This window comes from Homo sapiens, chromosome 1 (assembly GCF_000001405.40).
Source record: "Homo sapiens chromosome 1, GRCh38.p14 Primary Assembly".
In the NCBI taxonomy this organism is placed as follows: Eukaryota; Metazoa; Chordata; class Mammalia; order Primates; family Hominidae; genus Homo; species Homo sapiens.
In genome coordinates, this window is record NC_000001.11 from 29562007 (window position 1) to 29583230 (window position 21224).

The window sequence follows — 21224 nt, forward strand, 5'->3', positions numbered from 1 at the left end:
TGACTGGGCTGATCACTCTCCCAACCCTGTTCTCTGTCCCTTTTGGAGCTCCAGGGCCCCAGGCCTTCCTGTGGCATGGAGAGATTTGCCCACCATCCTGGCTGCCCTCCTCCAAGTTAAGGAATAAACATACTCTGTGTGGTCAATAGTGTCACTGTGTCTTGGTCAAGAATTGGCAACTCTCATGCTTTAGGGAAGTATACATTATATACATTTAACATAGAACATAAGCGTATGACAGTGATGGATAATAAATTTCATATTTATACATTTATCAAAATATGCAAAACCCACTTCCAAAATTGTATACCTGCAGACACACAGTTTAATAACTACTTGAGACTCCTCACCAGCACCATAATGTGAGCTTGGGCACTAAGTGGGACACACGACCTGCAGCCCAGACCTGCTAAGGAGGACTTGACTGTTGGTGTTGTGGGACCGATGACGACCTGACTGACCCATCACTGTCCTTCCCAGCCTTTCTGACACTCCTGGCTTCTCAGAGGGATGGGCTACATATCTGACCTTGTGGGAGGGACTTGGGAGAGACCCTGAAGACCATGGGGAGCAAAATCTCTATTTTACAGATGGAGAAACTGAGGTCCATTCACTCACTCAATCAGTCACCCAATAATTGCTGAGTGCCTACTGTGTGCCAGGCTTTGTTCTAGGCACTGGGGATGCATCCATGAACAAAAGCAAGTTCTCGCCCTCATGGGGCTGGCATACTGGGAGGAAAGACAGAAAAACTGATAGATGCTGGATGATGATGAACACCCAAGGAAACCAAATATGGGCAGGAGGAGTTAGTGATGGATCGGGGGAGGATGATGAGCATGTGAGGAAACCCAGCATGAGCAGGGGGAGAGAGTGATGGATGGAGGTGTTACCAAGCAATGGGCTTGCTGCTTGATGAGCACAGAAGCCAATACTATGGCACTGGCTTTTTAGAAAAGAAAAAAGCTTTGTTGTGAGTCAACTGGCAAGGAGACAGGAGGCAATGCTCAAGTTTGTCTCCCTGATCTGGGGGTGGGCCAAGCTTTTATGGCATTTCTAACTAGCCCCAGATGATGCCAATGCAGCCAATCTGCCAGGCTGGTGGTGTTAACAATCAGATTAAAGTTTTTTTCCCATTATACATGCCCAGACAATTTTTGGCTCTTTATCACCTATAACAAGACAATGGTTAATGGGTTTCAGCTGGTCCTGCTGTTCCAAGTCCCCCCTCCCTTTTTGTTGTACGTTCCTCACTCTTGAGAGAAATGGGGTGATGACCATTCTAGCTACTTCCCGCTTTCAAGGGGCACAGGTGTGGGTTTGAGGAATGAACAGGGGGTATCGAAATATGAGACAGCTCTGCACCATCTGTACCTTGACAAGAATGAAAAGAAATCTCAGCACACATAGAACTATAATTCCTAACATAAGCAGACTCTCAAAAATAGATCTTATTCCTGATGGCATTAATACAGGCCTGGTCTGGTATCTTGGGTAAGCTGTCTCCTTCAGTTACCATCTGCTTCTGGCCTCCCCATCTGATCAGGTGGAGTCTGGTTTTAGAAACAAGAATGACTTCTCATTATCGAGAGATCCAGGAGCTCTTTAAGTCCTATTTTTTTTTTTTCTGAAAAGTAACTTTAGGAGTTACTTTGTTAGGAGTTCGCAAGCGTATTCCTGCCTGGAGAAATCATCTGTAGGCCATGCCATCTGTAGGTCATAGCCATATGGTGTTTGGATGACTCAGCCATCCTGCTTCCTGTTTCCTGTTGTTTGTGATAAGTGTAGCCTGTGTGGAGATTATGAAGGGGGTGAGGAGAGTCTTGACTACTAACAGGTACTATCTTTACTTGTGAATGGTGAACACAGGGCTTAACTACTTTACGGATGGATGGGTCACCAGAAGAACTTCATTGAGTCCATTTCATTTGGGCTGTAATTGGTACTCAGTCTCCTGGGCTTAGACAGTGTAAAGAAACATCTGCAGGAAATGTTAAACAGCTAGAAGCATACTTATGTATAACAGATAAAGTTGCATGCAGAGACTGTACGTATTTTGTAGTACCTAATTCTTTTATAATATGACTATTTTTGGAATTATAAAAAAATTCACTTTTGAGGAAGGGCTCAATTGGGGCTTGCTTCTGGGGGCTAATCTTACACTAAGCAGGGCAATAGGCAAGACTTTATCCCAGGTTAAGTTGGTTTCATGATTTCCTTTCTTCCCCCTGAATTCAGAAAGCCTCTCCCTTCCAGGTGACTTCATGTGCATGCACTACCACAAAAGCATATTTGGAGTCAGTATAAATAGTTACCTTTTACTTTGTCCCAAGGTTGCAAGTTATGTGCAGAGGTAGCTGGTGGGAGAGCCTCAGTTTCTAAGACTTCCTGGAGAGTCACAATTACATATTCAGCTTTTTAGAGTCTTCAGTTCAAGAAGTTGCTCCCATCTATAAACATCTCCAGGTTTAGGTCTTCCAAAGGCTGATTAGTCAAATGAGGTCTGCTAGAATAAGCTTCAATTATTTGTATACAATCACGAACAGTTTCTTCTACAGTACTTGGAAGTATGGTGGCTAGGTTTAGTGTGAACACTACCTTAAAATTTATATTTGGGTTGTCTAGTAGACTAGCCTGGTATTTCCTTACTCTTGCAGATGTAAGGTAATATCCTGCTTTTTGTTCAAAGAGGGGCAGTACATAGTGCAGGGTGTGCTCTGTGGTAGGCTGGCCCAAAGTAGATTTTTCAGCTTCTTGTAAGAGACCACAGGTTACAGCTACTGCTCGAAGACAAACTGGCTACCCTTGGGTTAGTATGTTGTTTAGAAAAGTTTACACCAGCACTCTTGGTGTTATCTAAATTTTGTGTCAGTACTCAAAGACTTATACATTGCTGTTCATGTACCAAAAGATCAAATGGCTTTCTTATATTTGGGAGATGAAAGGACAGGGTTGTTAGGAGCCTTTCCTTTATGTTTCAGAATGTCCTATGACATTCTGTAGTCCAATTAAATGGCTCATTATCATTTTCTTTGGGGGCTTGATATAAGGGCTTTGGACTTCTTATAAGTCAAAAGTGGGGAATCCAGATACAACAGAACCTAGTAATTCCCAAGAACCCTCATAATTGTTTTCTGGTAGTGGGTAAAGCCACTCTAGCTAGGGCCTCCCTTCAATCTGGTAACAAGGTTCTTTGCCCTTTAGATAGCTCAAACACCAGATACTTTAATGTTGACTGTGTAATTTGTGCCTTTTTCTTAGGAACTTTGTATTCGTGGTCTGCCAGAAAATTTAGGGTCAGAATTGTGTTTTGATCTGAGGTTTCTTTAGTTTTACTGGAAATCAGGATATCATCTATATATTGGAGAAATATTCTCTCAAGTCCTTAGCTAAAGCTTCCCCAAAGATGGTGGGGGCATTTTTGAAATCTTGTAGAAGTACTGTCCAATATTGTTGTTTTACATTAATTTCTGGATCATCCCATTCAAAGGCAACAGTTTTTGGGAGTCAGAACTGAAGGGTGCATTTGATCAGTTGAAGGAAGGACTTGTGGGAGGTTTTGCCACATATAACAGTAATTGCCATAGTCTTTGGGGAGAAGGGTCCCTGTCTGATGTTTAGTACAGAATATGTAGCCCCAGTGTCAATTAAAAAGGGTATGAGTCTTTCCCACAGTGACTGTTACCAGAGGTTCCTTGTGCGAAGTGTTGATAGAGCTAACAGAGTCTATAGGAGCCCCTGGGTCCCATCATCTTTGGTTGCTATCAGCAAGCTGTGGTATCTAGTAGATTAATTTGTGGGAAGTTCCTTCCTCTCCCATCAGGGGAGGTTAGGGCATTCCCACTTGCAATATTCTTGTTTACAATATGTACACTGTTGTGACCCTAATGATGGATGGCTCTTCTGGCTAAGTGGTGGGGTCTGGTGGGGAAGGTCTTAACTGTGGTTGTGTTTACCCCAGCAAGCATCTTACTGGGTCTTGATTGATCACAGGTGAAAGCTACAGCAAACAGTGCAGCTTGTTTTGTGTCATACTGTTTCTGCTTTTCCTGGACTTGGTCATGGCTATTAGATACTTTAGAGACAGGCTTGTCCAACCCACCTGATTTTGTTTTGTTCTGTCTTGTTTTATTTTACACTTTTAGCAGCTTGAAGCCATGTTTTTAGTTTCTGTCTCTAGCAATAAGTGGAAAAGAGAGGTGAGGAAGGGGTTTTACTGGCCCACCCAGAAACAGAAAGAAAGAACCCATGACTGTATTCTCTCTCTTGGATACTCCTGTGAAGCAATGGACAGTGGAATCCCTAATTCCCCCTCTACTCTTTGTCAGGAGCACACTGACTGATAAAAGTAATATTAACCAGTCTCATGTTTTCCAGGTGTTCTGGTTCAATGTCAGCATACTGTCTGTAGGCTTCAAAAACCCACTCAAGAAAGGCAGAGGAATTTTCCTTTGGCCCCTCTTGTACCTCCTGGACCTTATTTAGGCCCTTCAGTTTTTGGACCTTCTTCTGTGTTCCAGTTATTAAACATTCTTTATAATGGTTTAACTTTGTCTGGTCTCTGGGGTCACTGGGGTTACAGCCTGGCTTGGCCCCAGGTTTGGCCTGCATTGCTGGGGCTCTGATTGGATTCTTAGGTTATAATTAATGAAGCCTCTTGGCATCCTGACAGTCCTTTTCCAGTATCATCCTATGTTCCTCCAGAGTAAGGAGGATGTTTGTAAACACCTGAATGCCAGCCTAAGTGGAGTTATAAGTAGCAAAGGTGAATGTAAATAAACTTTTCATCTTTTGGGGATCATCCCATTAGGCAGGCATATTATTTTTCCAATTGTATAAATCTGAAGTTGAAAAAGGGGAATGCTCATATATAACAATCCCCTTGTTCATTGAGGCCCACAGGGACTGGTCTTAGTGGGAATTGCCCTGCTAAGGGGGAACTGAGGGAGAGCATTCCCTATGCCAAATTGGGTAACCTGATGGGTATGTGGAAGGGAGACCCCTCCTACCTGATTGGTGGGTAAAGGGAGGCATAAAGCTGAGCCTCCAACTTTGGGGAGGGAGTCTTATGCTCTTTCTGATCGCCTTTAATAGCACCTGGCATACAGTAGAGGCATTGCGGGAGATTGCAGATGAAGAAGAACAAAGTCATACAAATATAACCCAAATGTTTCCTGCGCAATTCCAACATACGAAATAAGCCTACTATGTCTCTCCTGGACTTCCAGGGGCCCTAATATACAAAGAGTTAGTTTGAGGTTATAAAGATTGAATTTAGAATTTACAAATGTCAAAGGTTTAAAACTCTTGCTCAAAATAGGATCACAGATTTTGTCAAAGATTTCAAAATGACTCTTCGATAGAGAGCAGACTCAAGTTGCCAAATAATCAGAAGACCTAATAAAGGCATGAAGTATCAAAAGTACTACATGAGCAACAGTTTTATGAACTTAAACATTTATCAGAGACAACATAAACCTGTCTGACCAGAAGACTCAGGCAAAAATGTCTGAATTTAAGACATTTCTATTTTGTCAAGAATCTTAAATTTTTATTTATCTAAAATCATATGAATCTGAGAAGCATTTGTACTTATTTATGAATACTCCTTTATATATAAGCCAATTTGGTCCCATAGACAATATAGAGACATGTATAGACAGACACAAAGACCCTACAGCCTTGATTTTAAAACTCTAGCCATAAAACTGGCAAAACTTAACATTCTAAAAGGGCAGCTGGATTCAAATTATGCCTTTGAAAGTGGAACAAGTCAAACTCCACTTGTCCTACATGGCACAGCCCTCACTGAGCCCCAGAGGAAACAGAGTTGCAATCCACATCATAAAGTGGAGAAAGAGAGAGAGTTTAAACACCTTAAAGGAGGAGTTTGGGTGTGCTAGAGGAAGACCAAAGACCAAAAAATAGATGCCAAAGTAACAGAATCATAGGAACTCACTATAGGATTTTACAAGGAGACCAACTTCATTTATATAGGTAGCTTTTTATTTAGTCTATTTCTTCAATAGAACTAATGAGCTCAGGGCAGAGCCGCTCAGGGCAGAGCTGCTCAGGGCAGATCCCAACAGGGAACAGGGCCAACAAAGCACTTTCAGCTTTTAGGCCCTAACAATTTAAATATATGGAAGCAGCTCCCTGCAGCAACAACCATTTCAGCCACCTCCAAAGCTGCACAGTCTTATGCCAAAAATACAACCAAACCAAACTGAGTGCCTTAGTGGATAGAGCTTTAGAATTGCCTTTATTCTTTGGATCTCTAACCCAAAGCCAGGACTCTAACCTGACCAAGATCTTCCTGGGGTGGGACTCTAACCCACAACCTGACAAGGGTGGGACTCTAATCCACAATCCTGGACCAAAAGGATGGGACTGTGGCCCACAATCTTTATGATGAGAACAAATCAACGTAAAACATAAGCTCATATTAACAAGGCTGCTTACCCAAAAGATGTCTGATCCAAAAGCTGTTTCTTTTCTCAAAAGTGAAAGTAGCACCAAGGACCCTGGAGTGCCATGACAGAGAAGAAAGGACCTCACAGCCAAGCCTCTAGACAAATGCCTACACAGCTACTGAGGGTTGGTGAAGAGGGCCTGCACCCCATCGAGAGGGTACAGTGCTTTGGGTAGGTTTTGTCCCATCTGGGTCGCCAATATTGTTATTGAACAATTGGCTCACTACATGACACACACAGAAGCCAATACTATGGCACTAGCTTTTGAGAAAAGAAAAAAATATTGCATGTCAACTGTCAAGGAGATAGGCAGTGACACTCAAACCTGTCTCCCTGGTCTGGTGGGTGGGTCAAGTTTGATGGCATTTTTAACTAGTCCCAGGTGATGCCAGGCTGGTGGTGGTAACAATTAGGGTAAAGCTTTTTCCCATTATGCATGCCCAGGCAATTTTAGCTCTGTGACACCTGTAACAACTTAAGCAATTGTTAATCACTTTGAGCTGATTCTGCAGTTACAGGGGATGGTGATGAACATGTGAGGAAACCCAACATAGGCTGGAGGAGAAAATGATGGATGGGGATTAGCTCCTGAAGGGGATCACAGAAAACTTGGCTGAGCAGGTGATGTTGAGCAGGACTGAAGGCAGTGAGAGTGGGGCCTCACTGGCACCTGGGGACAATATGTGCAAAGGCTTGGCAGGGGAACTGATCTGCCCAGAGAGGATGTCCTTCCAACCACTTACATCTATGCCTCTTGGTCACATGTGGGCCCCATGCTGAGGGCCAGGGAAGGAAAGAGAAGCAAGGAGGGAGGGTCCCTGTTTTCTCAGCTTCATCAGGGAGACAGGGTTAGATACACGATGATGTTGCACAGTGGTCAGGGTGCCGACGGGGCTATTGCAGTAACAGAGAGACATGGAGGCAGTGTAAGTGGACCCAGATTGGCCTGGTTCACTTCTTGCTCTGATGCTTCCTTCTTCAGCTCCCAGAGCCTCTGTACCAGACTCCTGGTCTGGATGATCTTGGAGTCGTCTTTCCAGGCCAAGTAAGATGGATAGTTAGGTGGATGGAAGGGCAGAAGGACAGGCAGGCCTGGATCCTGGTCTCTTCTCAAGCCCCTCAGTCCCCCTGGCCTCACACTGCCTGGGTTTCTCTGAGCGCAAGATGTTCATAGCCTATTTTCAAGAGTCTGTGATGCAAATGTTCTAAGTGTCCAACATCGTCCCATTCTAACATCCAATTGTATTCTTGTTTTGTGAAACTCACTTTGATTTTGGCTATTTTAGTATCTTTATATCCTGTATTTTGAATCTTTGAATATTATAACATTTTGTTATTCAAATTTGTTTCAACATCCTCTGAGTCCCCCTTGGTGAATGCAGCCTTCTGTGACCCTGTGAAGTGCACACTCTCACCCACTGCTGGTGTAGACATTGAGTTCCCCCAACCTCAGTCTCCCCGAGGCTTCCAGGTACTTCCCCAATGCTATCCTTTAAATCATGTCCAGTAAACCATCCATGGTCCACTCTGGGGCCCACTTCAGACTTTCTGAATTTGTTGCCGTCACACAATATTCTTAGTCATGACCATGGCAATTAGAATGACTATGCTGGGTCATCAACTTTTGCTGGATTTAGTACTGATGGTGAGTCAGAGCCTTGCCCAATGAGTAGGCCGTCGGTCACCCTGGCTGTGCCTGACAGGTGTCCACTTGGTGGACAGCACTTGCCACAGTTATGCAGTGACTCATCCCAGGCTCCTGTAAACACCCAAGGAGTTTACCTTGCCCACTGCATAGACAGAGCCGATTCATCAAGGCAGGGGAATTGCAATAGAGAAAGAGTAATTCAACCAGAGCCAGCTGTGCAGGAGACCAGAGTTTTGTTATTACTCAAATCAGTCTCCCCTGAGCATTTGGAGTTTTTAAGGATAACTTGGTGGGTGGAAGGAAGCCAGTGAGCCAGGAGTGCTGATTGGTCAGGGGTGAAATCACAGGGAGGGGAAGCTGTCCTTCTGCACTGAGTCAGTTCCTGGGCGGGGGCCACAAGTTCAGATGAGCCAGTTTATTGATCTGGGTGGTGCCAGCTGATCCATCAAGTGCAGGGTCTGCAAAATATCTCAAGCACTGATCTTAGGAGCAGTTTAGGGAAGGTCAGAATCTTGTAGCTTCCAGCTGCATGACTCCTAAACCATAATTTCTAATCTTGTGGCTAAGGTTAGTCCTACACAGGCAATCTAGTCCCCAGGCAAGAAGGGGGTCTCCATGGGAAAGGGCTGTTATTGTCTTTGTTTTAAACTATAAACTATAAACTAAGTTTCTCCCAAAGTTAGTTCTGCCTACGCCTGGGAATGAACAAGGACAGCTTGGAGGTTAGAAGCAAGATGGAGTCGATTAAGTGAGAACTCGTTCACTGTCTCAGTCTTAATTTTGCAAAGGTGGTTTCACTCCCACAGGCAGAGGATGCAGCCTCTCTCAAGCAGTGCTGGCCTGTGCCACCTGGGCCCTGCAGGGAGCCCACCCAGGCTGTTTGGGTTCCTGGCTTTCCCTCCATTTCCTACCCAGAGCTTTCATGTTCTCTCTCTTCTCTGCTCTCAGGACAGCATCAGACCTTTTATCTTTGCAGGCCTCTCCTCAAGATTTTAGATTCTGATTCCAAACCCCAGTGGAGGAGGCCCAGTCTTCGTTAATGATCCCTGAGTCCCAGGCATAGTGTGACCTAATGGTTAGATCACAGGCTTTGGCTAACCCTGGTCTCTTCCACTTCCCTGCTGAGACTTCAGGAAGGTTACTTAACCTCTCTGAGCTCAGTCTCCTCAGTGTGAGTTGAAGATAATAATAGCATCTACCTTGTGGGGTGGATTAAGTGTAGCAACACCGGTAACAAGCTCAGCGAGGATTCTGTTATTGTTGCTATCCTGATGTGTCACAGCTGGTGATTTCTCTGCCCCGAGAGCATTCAGGTGGCCCCTCTAGGCTTCTCGCCACTGGAGCAGTGGGAAGAAAATGGGCCCCGGAGCCCACAGACTCAGGTTCAGGTTCAGCCTCCAGCACTCACTCAATGTGTGTCTTGGGCAAGTGGCTTAACCTTTGTGAGCCCCATTGGTTTTTCCCTCTGTAAATTGGCAAGCTAATACTGAGCACATAGGGTTATTGTGAGGACTTCATGAAGGTACATCAGATGGAGGCAGATTCCTGGGCTCAAACGACACTTTCGAGGCATACTTGGGGGTGGGACTCTGAACAAAACAGAGTTTTGTTCTGTTCCTCGCTGTTCCTCGCATCCTTATCTGTAACATGGAGACTGGGAGTCTCTGCTTCATAGGATGCTGTGGGGACTCCAGGACCTAAGAGAGCCCTCAATGCATGTTAACTGGCATTGTAACTTTCATCATCATCATTATTGTTGTTATTATTACTCTGTTTGCAGGCAAGCACCCCATCTTATCTTCCTGCATCAAGCCTCTGGCACAGGGTCTGGGCATAGTAAAGACTTGACACTCACCGGAGCAGGAAGAGAAGGGACCTGGGAGCAGACTGCCTGGGTTCAAGGTCTAGCTCCACCACTTCTGAGCTGTGTGGCCATGGACAAGTTTCTAAACCTTTCTGAACTTCAGCATCTTCATCTGTAAAATAGGCGAGAGGAGTGGATAACAATAGGACCTCCTTCATGGAGTTGTTGAAATAACTAAGTGAACTAATGCATGAAAAGTACTTAGCACAGTGCCTGGCACACAGTAAGTGCCAAGCCAGTGCTAGCTTTGATTCTTCCTGGCCCCAAAGGAATGTTGGCACTGAGGGGCTTCTAAAGATCTCCTTTTCAGCCACTACTCTGCTTTGAGATGAAGAAACTGAGGCCAAAAGACATTAAATTAAACGTTTGGCAATAAGACAGTATATGGCTGTGCTAAATTATGCAGGGCAGACAATTAGAGAACAAAATGATCTGTAATAAAGGGCTAATTGGGCGGGACAGATGCTAAGTGGACCAGGAGACTGAGATGAAGGAGAGAAAAATGCAGCCTGGAACGAGGATGGCCTCGGCCAGGGCCCAGGTGTTCTTGTTAATGACATTGATGTTTCCTCCTAACACAGCCATGCATCCTTACTGTGAAGCATTTGGCAAGTGAAGGCATTTATATAAGAGAGTATATAACTCATCTTGTGTCTTGTCTTTCAAAGATAGTAGTTTTTCCTGATTAATATCTTTCTTCATTTATTTGTCTCTTCATATACAAGTATATATTTTCATAATTGCTTTCCCATTGGCATGGCTGTCAGGATAGACTAGGATATGATTAAAAAAACAAGCAACCCCCCAAAATAACAAAGATTGTTTCTTGCTCTTGCTACATGTCCTCAGTGGTCTGCAGGGAGGGCGTGGTCATCACAGACAGCAGGGACTGTCACCGATGGAGGCTCCACTGTCTGAGGATGTCAACGTCTCCACATGTACTTCTAAAGTCACCGTGACAGGGAAGGAGGACAGGGGGAGCTGAGCGCTGACTCAAATGCTCTCACCTGGAAGGGACACTCACTGCCTCTATTCATACTTCATTGTCCAGTGCAAGTCTTATGGCCACCCTGACGTGAAGGCCGCGGGAGATACCGTTCTCCTCCGGGTCCAGATAAAGAAGTGGATACTGGTGGACCCAGCTGTGTCCTTCCATGTGCAGATACAGATCTGAGGCTTTCCTACCTGACACTCCAGGCCGATCAGTTTCCCATTGCATTGTATATTCTTGGAAATTGTCCATGTGATTAGTAATCTATAATTTATTTAACAATCTCCTATGTATATAATTTGGATGGTTATATTTTTTACTGTCATAACACTGCAATAAATATTTTCATTCTTCAGCCTTCTAAATTTCTATTTTGTTAGAATAGCCTCCTATAAGAGATGTTGGTAAAATAGTATGAATTTATAGAAATTACACGTGGCTAAGACTTAGGGAGTGAATAGTCTTCCTGGTAAATGGGAGGTTGTGAATGATCAGATCACTTGCTCTCCTTACCAGCACTGTCACTGGGTCAGCAGGAAGGTCTCTCACAGCAGCTCTGCTGGCCAAGGAGGGGAGCGCCTGGGCTATGGGCTCAGGACCTTCACTGTCCATGCACTGGCAGTAACTCAGCTGGGCCAGTTGGCTCTCAAGCCTGAGTCCACCCCTGTAGGATGAGGGCCATGATGCTCTCTGTCCGATTCACTCTTCAGGAAACAGGATCTGCGAGGGGCCTGGTAAAGTGCAGACCTTGTCGGGGTTACCAGTTGCTAGAACCATCCTTATCCAGGTGGGAGGCAGTGGGTGGTGTCACATGGCCAAGCAGAGGCGGGGCCAGTGGAACCCCCCTGTCTTGCCCAGGCTCTCCTTCCTCATGTGGCTTTGTGCACCTTATGGCATCTCAGAGATATGTGGAGGGAGTTGGGCACCTCTCAAGGGTGGAGGAAGGGGTGGCACCAAATTCCCAGATGACCATCAAATCAGGATGAAAGTTGTGAAAGTTATCTGTGCAAAAATGCTAGGCTGAAAATAAAAGCAAGAAAAGCCTCTGTCTCCTGTCCTGAGAGAGATTGTGTGGGAACAGCCAGTGCCTAGGGGGCAAGAGAGGCTGAGCAGGGAAGTGAGCAGTGAAGAGTCAGTGTGGGCAGAGTCACTGACCTTGGTCTCCCACCCAGGGCATTTGGGGCAAGTTTGGCCCCACCTCCTGCATGGCCAAGACCTACATCTCTGGATGGAAGTTCCACATCCCACAGCTGAATGGAGAGCTCTGATCCTGTCTGGCTTCACACTAAATGATCTCTGAGTTTTCTACTGGTGTCAGTCCCATTTTCCTGGGCAGGGGTTGTGGGGCTGAAGGCCTCAGGGCTGGATGGAGAAAAGGGAAAAAAAATGCTATCACAGGAGATGATGAGGCTGGTCTATTAGTAAGTGGATGGAACCAAGTCCTAGTGAAGAATTTGCTTAAATGACTTGTTCACAGCATCTCCCTGTAATCGCTCTCATGCTCCATGGACACTTTTCTTATCTCCATCCACCCCCGTACCCCCACAATGCTTTAGTCTTTTTTACCACTTTTTTGCTTAACAACAAGACAACACTGTTTGCCACATCATCTTCATAAAGATCCTCCAAGAGAAACGCAGCAGTGCTGACTGTGGAACCAATGAAACCGTTTTGTAAATTACTGAAAGTGAGGAGAAATTAGAGCAGCATTTATGTCTACTGCAGCTGGAGATGGAGAGAAAGGTGGTCTGGGTGGGGTTGAGGCTGTGGGTGGAGAGTCTTCCTTAGTCATAGTAGTGGAGGCAGCATGGACAGTGGAGAGAGTCCTGCACTGGGGGCCCAGGGCCTGGAGTCAGGGTTCTGCTGGGTACTGAGCTTTGAAGAACCCCTGGGCCTCCACCTAGAACCCTCTGAATGTGCACATAGGTGTGTAGATATATGCAGTGCGTACACAGACACATGCAGCCACACACAGATTTACACAGACACACAAAACACACACATAGATCCACATAAACATCCCCCATGCACATGCAGACACAATGACAAACATTGCGTGCACACACATGCACACTGGAATGCATGTGCATGAATTCACATTACAGGCAGACACATGTCCACTTGGCCAAGGTCAGAGACAGAGGTAGATTTTGAAGCCTGATCTGCAGGAGAGGTGAGCCTGTCAGGCAGAGGGGAGTGGGGGGCTGTGAGTGTCAGCACCCTCCCTCCCACCCATGGGGTGGATCTGAGTACCTGGACAGTGCTGCCATTCCCACCCTCTCAGGAGTCAGGAATGCATTCTGCTCTCTCAGCCCTGAGGAGTCCCCTGCCCTGAGTCCCCACTCCTGCTCTTCCCCTGACTGCCCTGAGCTAACAGGCACAGATACTGCCCTCTCTGGCTCCTTGGCCAAGAGTAAAGTGCTCTACGCATGTGACAATATGCAGCAAGTGCACAACTGTGCCAGGCAGGACTTGGCCCTGGTGACGGGTACAGATTTGTCAGGCTAAGGATTTGCCAGGGCACCAGAGAGTCAGCAGCCAAACAAGGATATGACCCACCTATTAGGTAATTTTCTGCTGCCCTTGACCTAAGGATGTGTGATTTCAAGGGAGGAGGAAGCGTCATTCCGATGAGAGCGGAGAGGCAGGAAAAACACGCTGTAGAGAGAATAAAACAGGTGCATGGAGAGAAGTGGAGATGAGCTGCAGGGTGGGGTGGGCAGGTGAGTGGCTGTCTGGGGTCCCAGCTGGCATTCCAGGCCCTGGTTCCAGGCTCCGGTAGGCTGGTCTTCTGTAAGTTCCATTAGAAACTTCCCCTCTTCCCTGCCCTCCTCCAGCCTAGTACAATACCCCTCCACACACAATTTTTCTTTGCCTAAGCTAGAATGAATGGTTTTTCTGTTACTTGCAAAGAGCCCTGACTCAGACACCAGGCAAACCTATTTATTTTTAAAACTCCTTAAAAAAAAAGCATCATTTCCAACAATGAATGTATTTTGCTCAGAGAGGCCTTGTCAAATAAGAGGAATGAGGCATTTGCAAACCTACATGAAAATTAAACCCACAATCTGGGTACACACTTGTTTGACAAGTGATAATTAACTGTTGACAATATAATTCAGTTTGAATGCAAGTGTGTTTTTCATTAAAAAGTAATCAAAGAAGAAGATATATGAATGGCCAATAAATCAAGAGAACATGCTCAACATCATTAGTCATCAAATAAATGCAAATTAAAGCTACAATGAGATGCCATTCTACACCCACCAGACTGGCTAAAATTAAAAAGACTGAAAATAACAAGTATTGGTGAGAATGTGGAAGAACTAACTCCTCATACATTGCTGGTGGGAATATAAAATGTTAGACTGCAGAAAACAGTCTGGCATTTTTTTTTTTTTAAAGTTAACATGCATCTACCATGATCCGGCCACTCTGCTCCATAGGTGTTTATCCAAGACTCTATGCTTGACTGTGGCACTCAGCTCTCCCGCTAAAAAGATTTTCAGAATAGGTGCTGAGTGTCCACCGCTCCCTGCTGGGACTGGACGTAGGCTCTGGAAAGAACGCTGGGATTATAGGTCTCTGTGCCTTCTGTGTGTCTCACAGACCAAGTGCAGTCCTTAGCAGGTGGATCAGCTAGTCTACCTCTTGCTAAGGGACCAGCTTCCTCCTCTGGGCATGCTCGGGCCTGAATGTGCCCGCAGCCAACTGGCAGGGCACCAGCATTGACTCCAACTCAGGGAAGGAGATGGGTGTCTCATCTCTCCAGCCCCTACCATACCACAGGTCCTGCAGGTGTCATATCCTATTCCTCATTTTACAGAGGAGAAAATGGAGGCTTAGAGACATGCACTCACCCGTTCAAGGCCACACAGCTGGTGAGGGACCAAATGGAGAGAGAGGTGAACTCTGACTTGCCTGACTCTCAAGTCTGGGCACACACGCTGCCACTTCCCCTTCCTTTAATCCATTCAACTCCTCTGTGTCTCAGTTTTCTCATCTGTAAAATGGGGATAAAAATGATACTTGCCTCACAGGTTTGTTATGAAGACTAAATAAATTAACGCACAGAGCAGTGCCTCGTACATAGAAATGTCTCAATTAATATTTGCTGTGACACTTATTAATTAGTTCAGATAATAAATAATATCATTATACCACCTTTATTCCTTCCCTCTACGGGGCTAATTGGCTTTTCCCCCTTAATCATCTCTGTATCCCTCTCTGGACTTTGTCCTGGAAAGGGACCCTGTGACATTGAGAATAGGGTGGGCATGTGTTTCCTAGCCTATGCAGGTTAGACTCTCAGACAGACATCTGAGAAACCAATAGCCGAAACTGCCAACCACTTAAAAGAAGAATCTAACAGTGTGAAAAGGGCTTTAAATGCCCGTGTTTAATTGCGTACAAGGAGTTTGATCTCATTTCATAGGAGCCACTTCTATTTCTCTTTCCTTTCTGGAAATTCTTCTTCTAAGAGCAATTTGTGATGATCAGGGACAATTTGAAGAATGTGGCAAACTTGAGAAGGGGAGTCCCGCCTCCCTCTGGGGCTGCGCTTCTCCAGCTCTCCCTCTCTTCTGGAAGCAGCAGAAACCCCCAGGTCATAAAGGCAGGCTGGATGCATGGCGTTCCCCCTGCGGGATGGACAGCAGGGATGCATCCAGTCTGTGATCAAGGGACCTGCGTTCTGCGGGCAGCCTCTGTGGGACTGGGTCCCTGTTGTCCCTGGAGTGGAAGAGTTGGGCTCTGAGATCACTCCGCAAGCTGAACTCTTGTCAAAGCTGGCCCCCTGTTGGGGTCAGTGTGGACACTCAGGCACATCTTATTTCCTCAGAGCAAAGCTCCTGGCCCCTCATTCAGAGCCTGGCGATAGGTACTTTATCACAGTCCAAACGGCTTTTCTCACCTCTCTAGGCTCACAGCTGCTAGAGGCATCAGACAGAAGTGGGAGAGGGGCCGAGTGAGGCAGATACCGAGGGAGTAAACTGGGTGGACGGATGGGCCGGGAGTGAGGCAGGATCTGGACAACCACGAGCAGACGGAGGAGCATTTGGTGAGTGGCCATGTGTCTTTCAAACCATATTGTGTTTATAAAGGCAGTTTACAAAACACACAGTATGTGATAGGGTTAATTTGTTCTTCCAACCAATGCCTACTGAGCACCTATTACGTGCCAGGCCCCATGCCGGTGCTGTGATGCACCGAGAAGCGAGACTCGGTCCCTACCCTCAGTTTGGGGAGGGGGCACACGTCAAGAAAAGACCCCGTTGCCACCCCACAATGAAGGATGTGCCCTTGCGGTGGGGACATGGTGGGGGTGTCTGTGTGACTAACGCTGACTCTGTTCCAGGCCTGCAGTCAGATCTCCTAATGTCCTAGTGAGTTTGGGGATTTAGGGAATCATCCTCGTTTAACAGGGAAAGTGACCAAGGCTCAGATGGGGAAATACTTGTCTGATCTTCTGGACCCAGGTTTTCCGAGTTCTCAACCCGATCATTGGCCTCAGTCAGCAACACTCGGCCTCGGGGTCTCACAGGACGATCGCAGCCACAGCCTCAACCCATCCTCATTCCTGGGCCACGCTGCCAACTTTCTCATACTGACATTAATTACACTTCCTGGAGGTTAATTTGTAAGGAGACAGTAAAAATGTGTTGTTTAAATAGTGATTACTAAAATCATCCTGGGGTTTTGCTACATAATAGGTAATTATCTGTAACATAATTGGGAAAACAACGCAGTCAATTCCGTTTAGCTCTTTCCACAGAACACAGAGTTAATCCTGGGGAGCATACTCAGCATACTCAAAAAAAAAAAGAAAGCTCAGTGTGACTGCTGGGGTGGGGAAAGGATTGGAGGGGCCTGGCATACTCAGTGTGATATTTGCTCAAGCATACTCTTATTACATCTGAATTGAAGTCACTTTAGGAACCTTCGGTGGGAGGAAAACATGCTGATTGGCTAAGACCTGGGTCCCAGATGTCTGAGTGGAGACGCTTTCCTCCAAAGTGGGAGTTTTCTGCTCCACGAATGACACTGCCTCATGTCCAGCAAGAACACATTGAAACATTTGTCCACGTAGGCCTTAGGCATTTGCACAATTACTCTTTCGCTTATTGTTTTTTTATACCCATTCATTTGGCTCTTTGGTATTTTTCATTTGTTCATTTTTTCTTTCATTCATTTTACTCATACAGCCATCATGCGTGAATGTATTCCTTGATGCACACCTTGGTTTATTTGTTTCTGCTTCCATTGATTGTTCTTTCATTTTGTCACTGCATTCATTCATGGATTCATGGTTCCTCGGTCCATTCATTTATTCAATGCTTCATGCAGTTGTCAATTTGTTCATTCGTTCATCATTCAACAATGAATGATTTGATCATATACAGTGTGTTGGGTGTGTCTGTCAGGTGTGAGTGCAGCCAGGCCCACTGGCATATTCTGGGCATTTCACTAAAAAGGGCCCTGGGGCTTATCTTTTTTTTTTTTTAAAGCAAACCTCTTAGTGTAGCCTAATGAAATGTGAGACTTACACAGAAGAGAGTACACAAATGGTAAGCGTATGGCTAAAGAACTCTCTGAAACTAAATACACCTATGGGACCAGTGCAGATCGAGAAAGAGAATGTTACCAGGACTCCAGGAGTCCCCTCACACCCCTGCTTGTCACTCTTCCTCTAGGTCAGGACAGGTGAGAAGCGCCCTGCCTTCTAACCCTGCGTATCATCTGTGCCTGTTCCAGAACTTCATGCAAATGCACTCACACTGTCCGGTGCTCCTATGTGTCTCATTTCCACTTTGCTCAACATCATGTGTATGTTTTATCCAGGTCAGCGTGTTAAGTTGGACACTGTTGATTCTTATTGATGTGTGATGTTTGTATGTTGTATGAATATGCAGCTATTTGTTTACCCATCTAACTCTAGATGAGATCTGAGTACTTTCCAGTTTAGGGCTGTTAGGAACAGGGCTGCTATGAAGTTCTTGCAAGTGCTTTTTGGTGAACATATGGGTGAATTTCTGCTGGGCAGATACGAGTGGAATTTCTGAGTCATCAATTACACACAGGTTCAGCATCAAGAGAGACTGCCGAACAGTTGTGCAAAGTGGTGCCTCCAATTTAGACTCCCACCAGCAGTGTATGAGGCTTTGCCCACCGACTTGTCCCTGAGCAACCTGCCCTCCCATGACCTTACCTCATCCTTGGGCTGCCTCAGGTCTCCTGGCCCTGCTGCTCAGTTTGCCCTCCCAGTCTTTGTCCTTCCCTGGGTCTTTGGTGCAGGACTCTCTGCGCCTGGGTCCTGCTGTTGGCTCCTTCCAGGCCTGGTCCTGGAGACACATTCTCAAGCCACTCTGGGTGGCATCATCTGGGCCTGGTGTTGCCTGGCTGCCTTCCCCACACTGGGGCCTTCCTTGCTGGAAGGGACCCCCTTGCATCCTGACCAGCCTTCTGGGGGTCCACGGATCAGGTGCTCTACTGAGCACTGGGGGTCTTTGTTAAACCAAGTATGGGTCCTGCCCTTGCGGCGTTCATAGACCAGTGTGGAGATAGAGCCTGGGCTTATCTTCCTATGCTTCAAAGGTGGGCAGTTGAGTCTAAAAGGAAGAGAGGGACAGAAAACTTCATGTAGAGAGAATGCTAGACCTTGGCATGTGATTTACTGGAGGGATAATGTCATGGGACAGAAGGTGCAAGAACTTTAGAGTTGATTGGTCCTGGGCTCAAATTCCAGTTGCTCCACGCCCAGCTGTGTGATGGAAGATGCTAGCACCAATCTTGGTGGCACTGGCAGTGTGTCCAGGAGATGCCCAGCAGGCTGTGGGAAATGCAGAGACTGGGGGAAAGGGCCCTGGAGTTAGCGCTGGTAGATCTGGCTTCACCTCCGGACCCTCCCTGGAGGCTGTCGCCAGCAGAAACCCCCTCTCGTGCTGTTTTCTTTCTCTGACTCACAGTGTGACCTTGGGCAGGTCCTGCCCCCTCTCAGAGTCTCAGCTGTCACATTTGTGAAATGGAGATAATTCACCTCCTGGGACTATGAGGACTGAGACGATGGAGGTGATGGTGTCTAAGCAACTCTGCGGCCTCATTCATCTGGGGCAGTCACGGCGTTCTCACCTCAGATGATGTTTCCTCTCACTCTTGTTATCCTTCCCTCCTCCTTCCCACGCTGTGCTCATTTGCCTTCTTTCATCCTAGTTTTAATTTCACTTATTATAATTTTATATTAGAAGAATCATCAGAGACCAGCTAGCCCCTCATTTTACACATTGGGGAAACTGAGGCACAAAGAGAGAAAGTAATGGCCTCAAGATCACGCAGCCAGCTGCAGTTCAGCTCCTAGCTCCACACAGGAGCTCCAGCCCCAGAAGGATGAATATCCTCACTTTGATGTGGCGCCTACTCTCTACACTCCAGGAAGATGTCCAACCTTGTCTAGGAATTTCCTGGCTGATACTTGCAACAAGAGCAAAGCCCAACAAGTGTGAAGTCAGTCTTTGAAAAGCTGGAGGCTAATTTGTCCTGGAGCTGTATCTTCTCTTTAGATCCCAACAGTAGCTACGTTTTCTGATCTAAGTGGCTGTCAGTTTCATTCCAAATAAGGTGCGCTTGATCTGCTGCCTGTGTGAATATTGTTTGCTATTACATCTAGTTTAAAAATCCCATTGAAAAAGTTGATTACAGAAGAAAGGGTTTGATTTGGGAAAATTCAAGTGTGTGTGTGTGTGTGTGTGTGTGTGTGCGCGCGCGCGCACGCGTGCGCGCGCATGTCTCCCAACATTTATTTAATTTTTAAACCAAGAGCAAATCATCTTTAAAGGCTACCTTCCTCTTAAAAATAATCCAGATAGGCCAGGCACGGTGGCTCATGCCTGTAATCCCAGGACTTTGGGAGGCCGAGGTGGGTGGATCACCTGAAGTCTGGAATTCGAGACCAGCCTGACCAACATGGAGAAACCCCGTCTCTACTAAAAATACAAAAAATTAGCCTGGTGTGGTGGTGCATGCCTGTAATCCCAGCTATTTGGGAGGCTGAGGTAAAACAATCGCTTGAATCCGGGAGGCGGAGGTTGTGGTGAGTCGAGATAGCGACATTGCACTCCAGCCTGGGCAACAAGAGAGAAACTCCGTCTCAAAAACAAACAAACAAACAAACAAAACTCCAGATAGCTGTCACTCAGGTACATGTGGAACCTGTGAAATGTGAGTGTTTTATCACTTAACTAAGCCTTTCTCCACTGCTGTGAAGACCTTGTGAAGACTCTCCCCCTGCGCTGCACCACTGGCAATTTCTCTTTGCAGCCTGAGGTTTGTTTTTGTTTTTCTTTGCAATTCCCTCTGAGAGTCTGGATGGAGCTACTGAACTCAGAGAAATGAGGCCAGGTAGCTTCAGGATTTGGCTTCAGAGTTATCAATACCTTCAACTAACTGATAATAATAACAGCTGTTATTTCTACAGGGCCTATTGTGTGCCAGGCACAGTGCTAGATGCTTTTTTGTTTGTCTAACTATTATTCATTATCTACGACCCTCACCACAACCCTGGAAAATACATGTTTGTCTTAGCTCCTGCTCTGATTTGATCTATCCACTGCCTGGATGGTTGCAGGGGCTGCCCAACCATCTGCCTGATTCCACTCTCACCCGCTGTGGTCTCCTCTCTACTGAGCAGCAGGAGGGAGCCTTTTAGAATGCCCATGCAACCACTTCCTTCCTTGCTCACACCCTCCATGGCTCCCATCTTCTCCAGGTTAAAGCCAGAGTCCTTCACTGGTCCCCAAGACCCTGTGACCTTTCTGGCCTCACCTCCCTAGCACCTGTCACTCTGCTGTCTAGGATGTCCTCCCTAGATGTTCTCATGGCTCACACCTCTTATGATCAAGTTGACCTCTAGAGGTTAGAGTTAGGCTTGGGTGATATTTAAGAATCTGGTTAGGTTTTTTTTTTTTTTTGAGTTGGTGTCTTGCTCTATTGCCCAGGCTGGAGTGCAGTGGCGTGATCTCGGCTCACTGCAAGCTCCGCCTCCCGGGTTCACACCATTCTCCTGCCTCAGCCTCCAGAGTAGCTGGGACTACAGGCACCTGACACCATGCCTGGCTAATTTTTTGTATTTATCAATATCTTCAACTAACTGGTAATAATAACAGCTGTTATTTCTAGTATTTTTAGTAGAGACGGGGTTTCACTGTGTTAGCCAGGATGGTCTCGATCTCCTGACCTCGTGATCCACCTGCCTCG

At 46.2% G+C, this 21224-nt stretch overlaps 2 annotated features.

Moving 5' to 3' along the window:
• Positions 7830 to 9029: an enhancer, noted in NCBI's record as "BRD4-independent group 4 enhancer chr1:30042683-30043882 (GRCh37/hg19 assembly coordinates)". NCBI's record gives its function as "activates an origin of replication core promoter dependent on BRD2, P300/CBP, MED14 and CDK7 cofactors, and independent of BRD4, by STARR-seq in HCT116 cells {active_cell/tissue: HCT116}" and the evidence as "EXISTENCE:reporter gene assay evidence [ECO:0000049][PMID:35650434]".
• Positions 18791 to 18987: a silencer, noted in NCBI's record as "fragment chr1:30053644-30053840 (GRCh37/hg19 assembly coordinates)". NCBI's record gives its function as "represses an EF-1alpha promoter that drives an FKBP-Casp9 reporter gene in an ReSE screen in HepG2 liver carcinoma cells {active_cell/tissue: HepG2}" and the evidence as "EXISTENCE:reporter gene assay evidence [ECO:0000049][PMID:32094911]".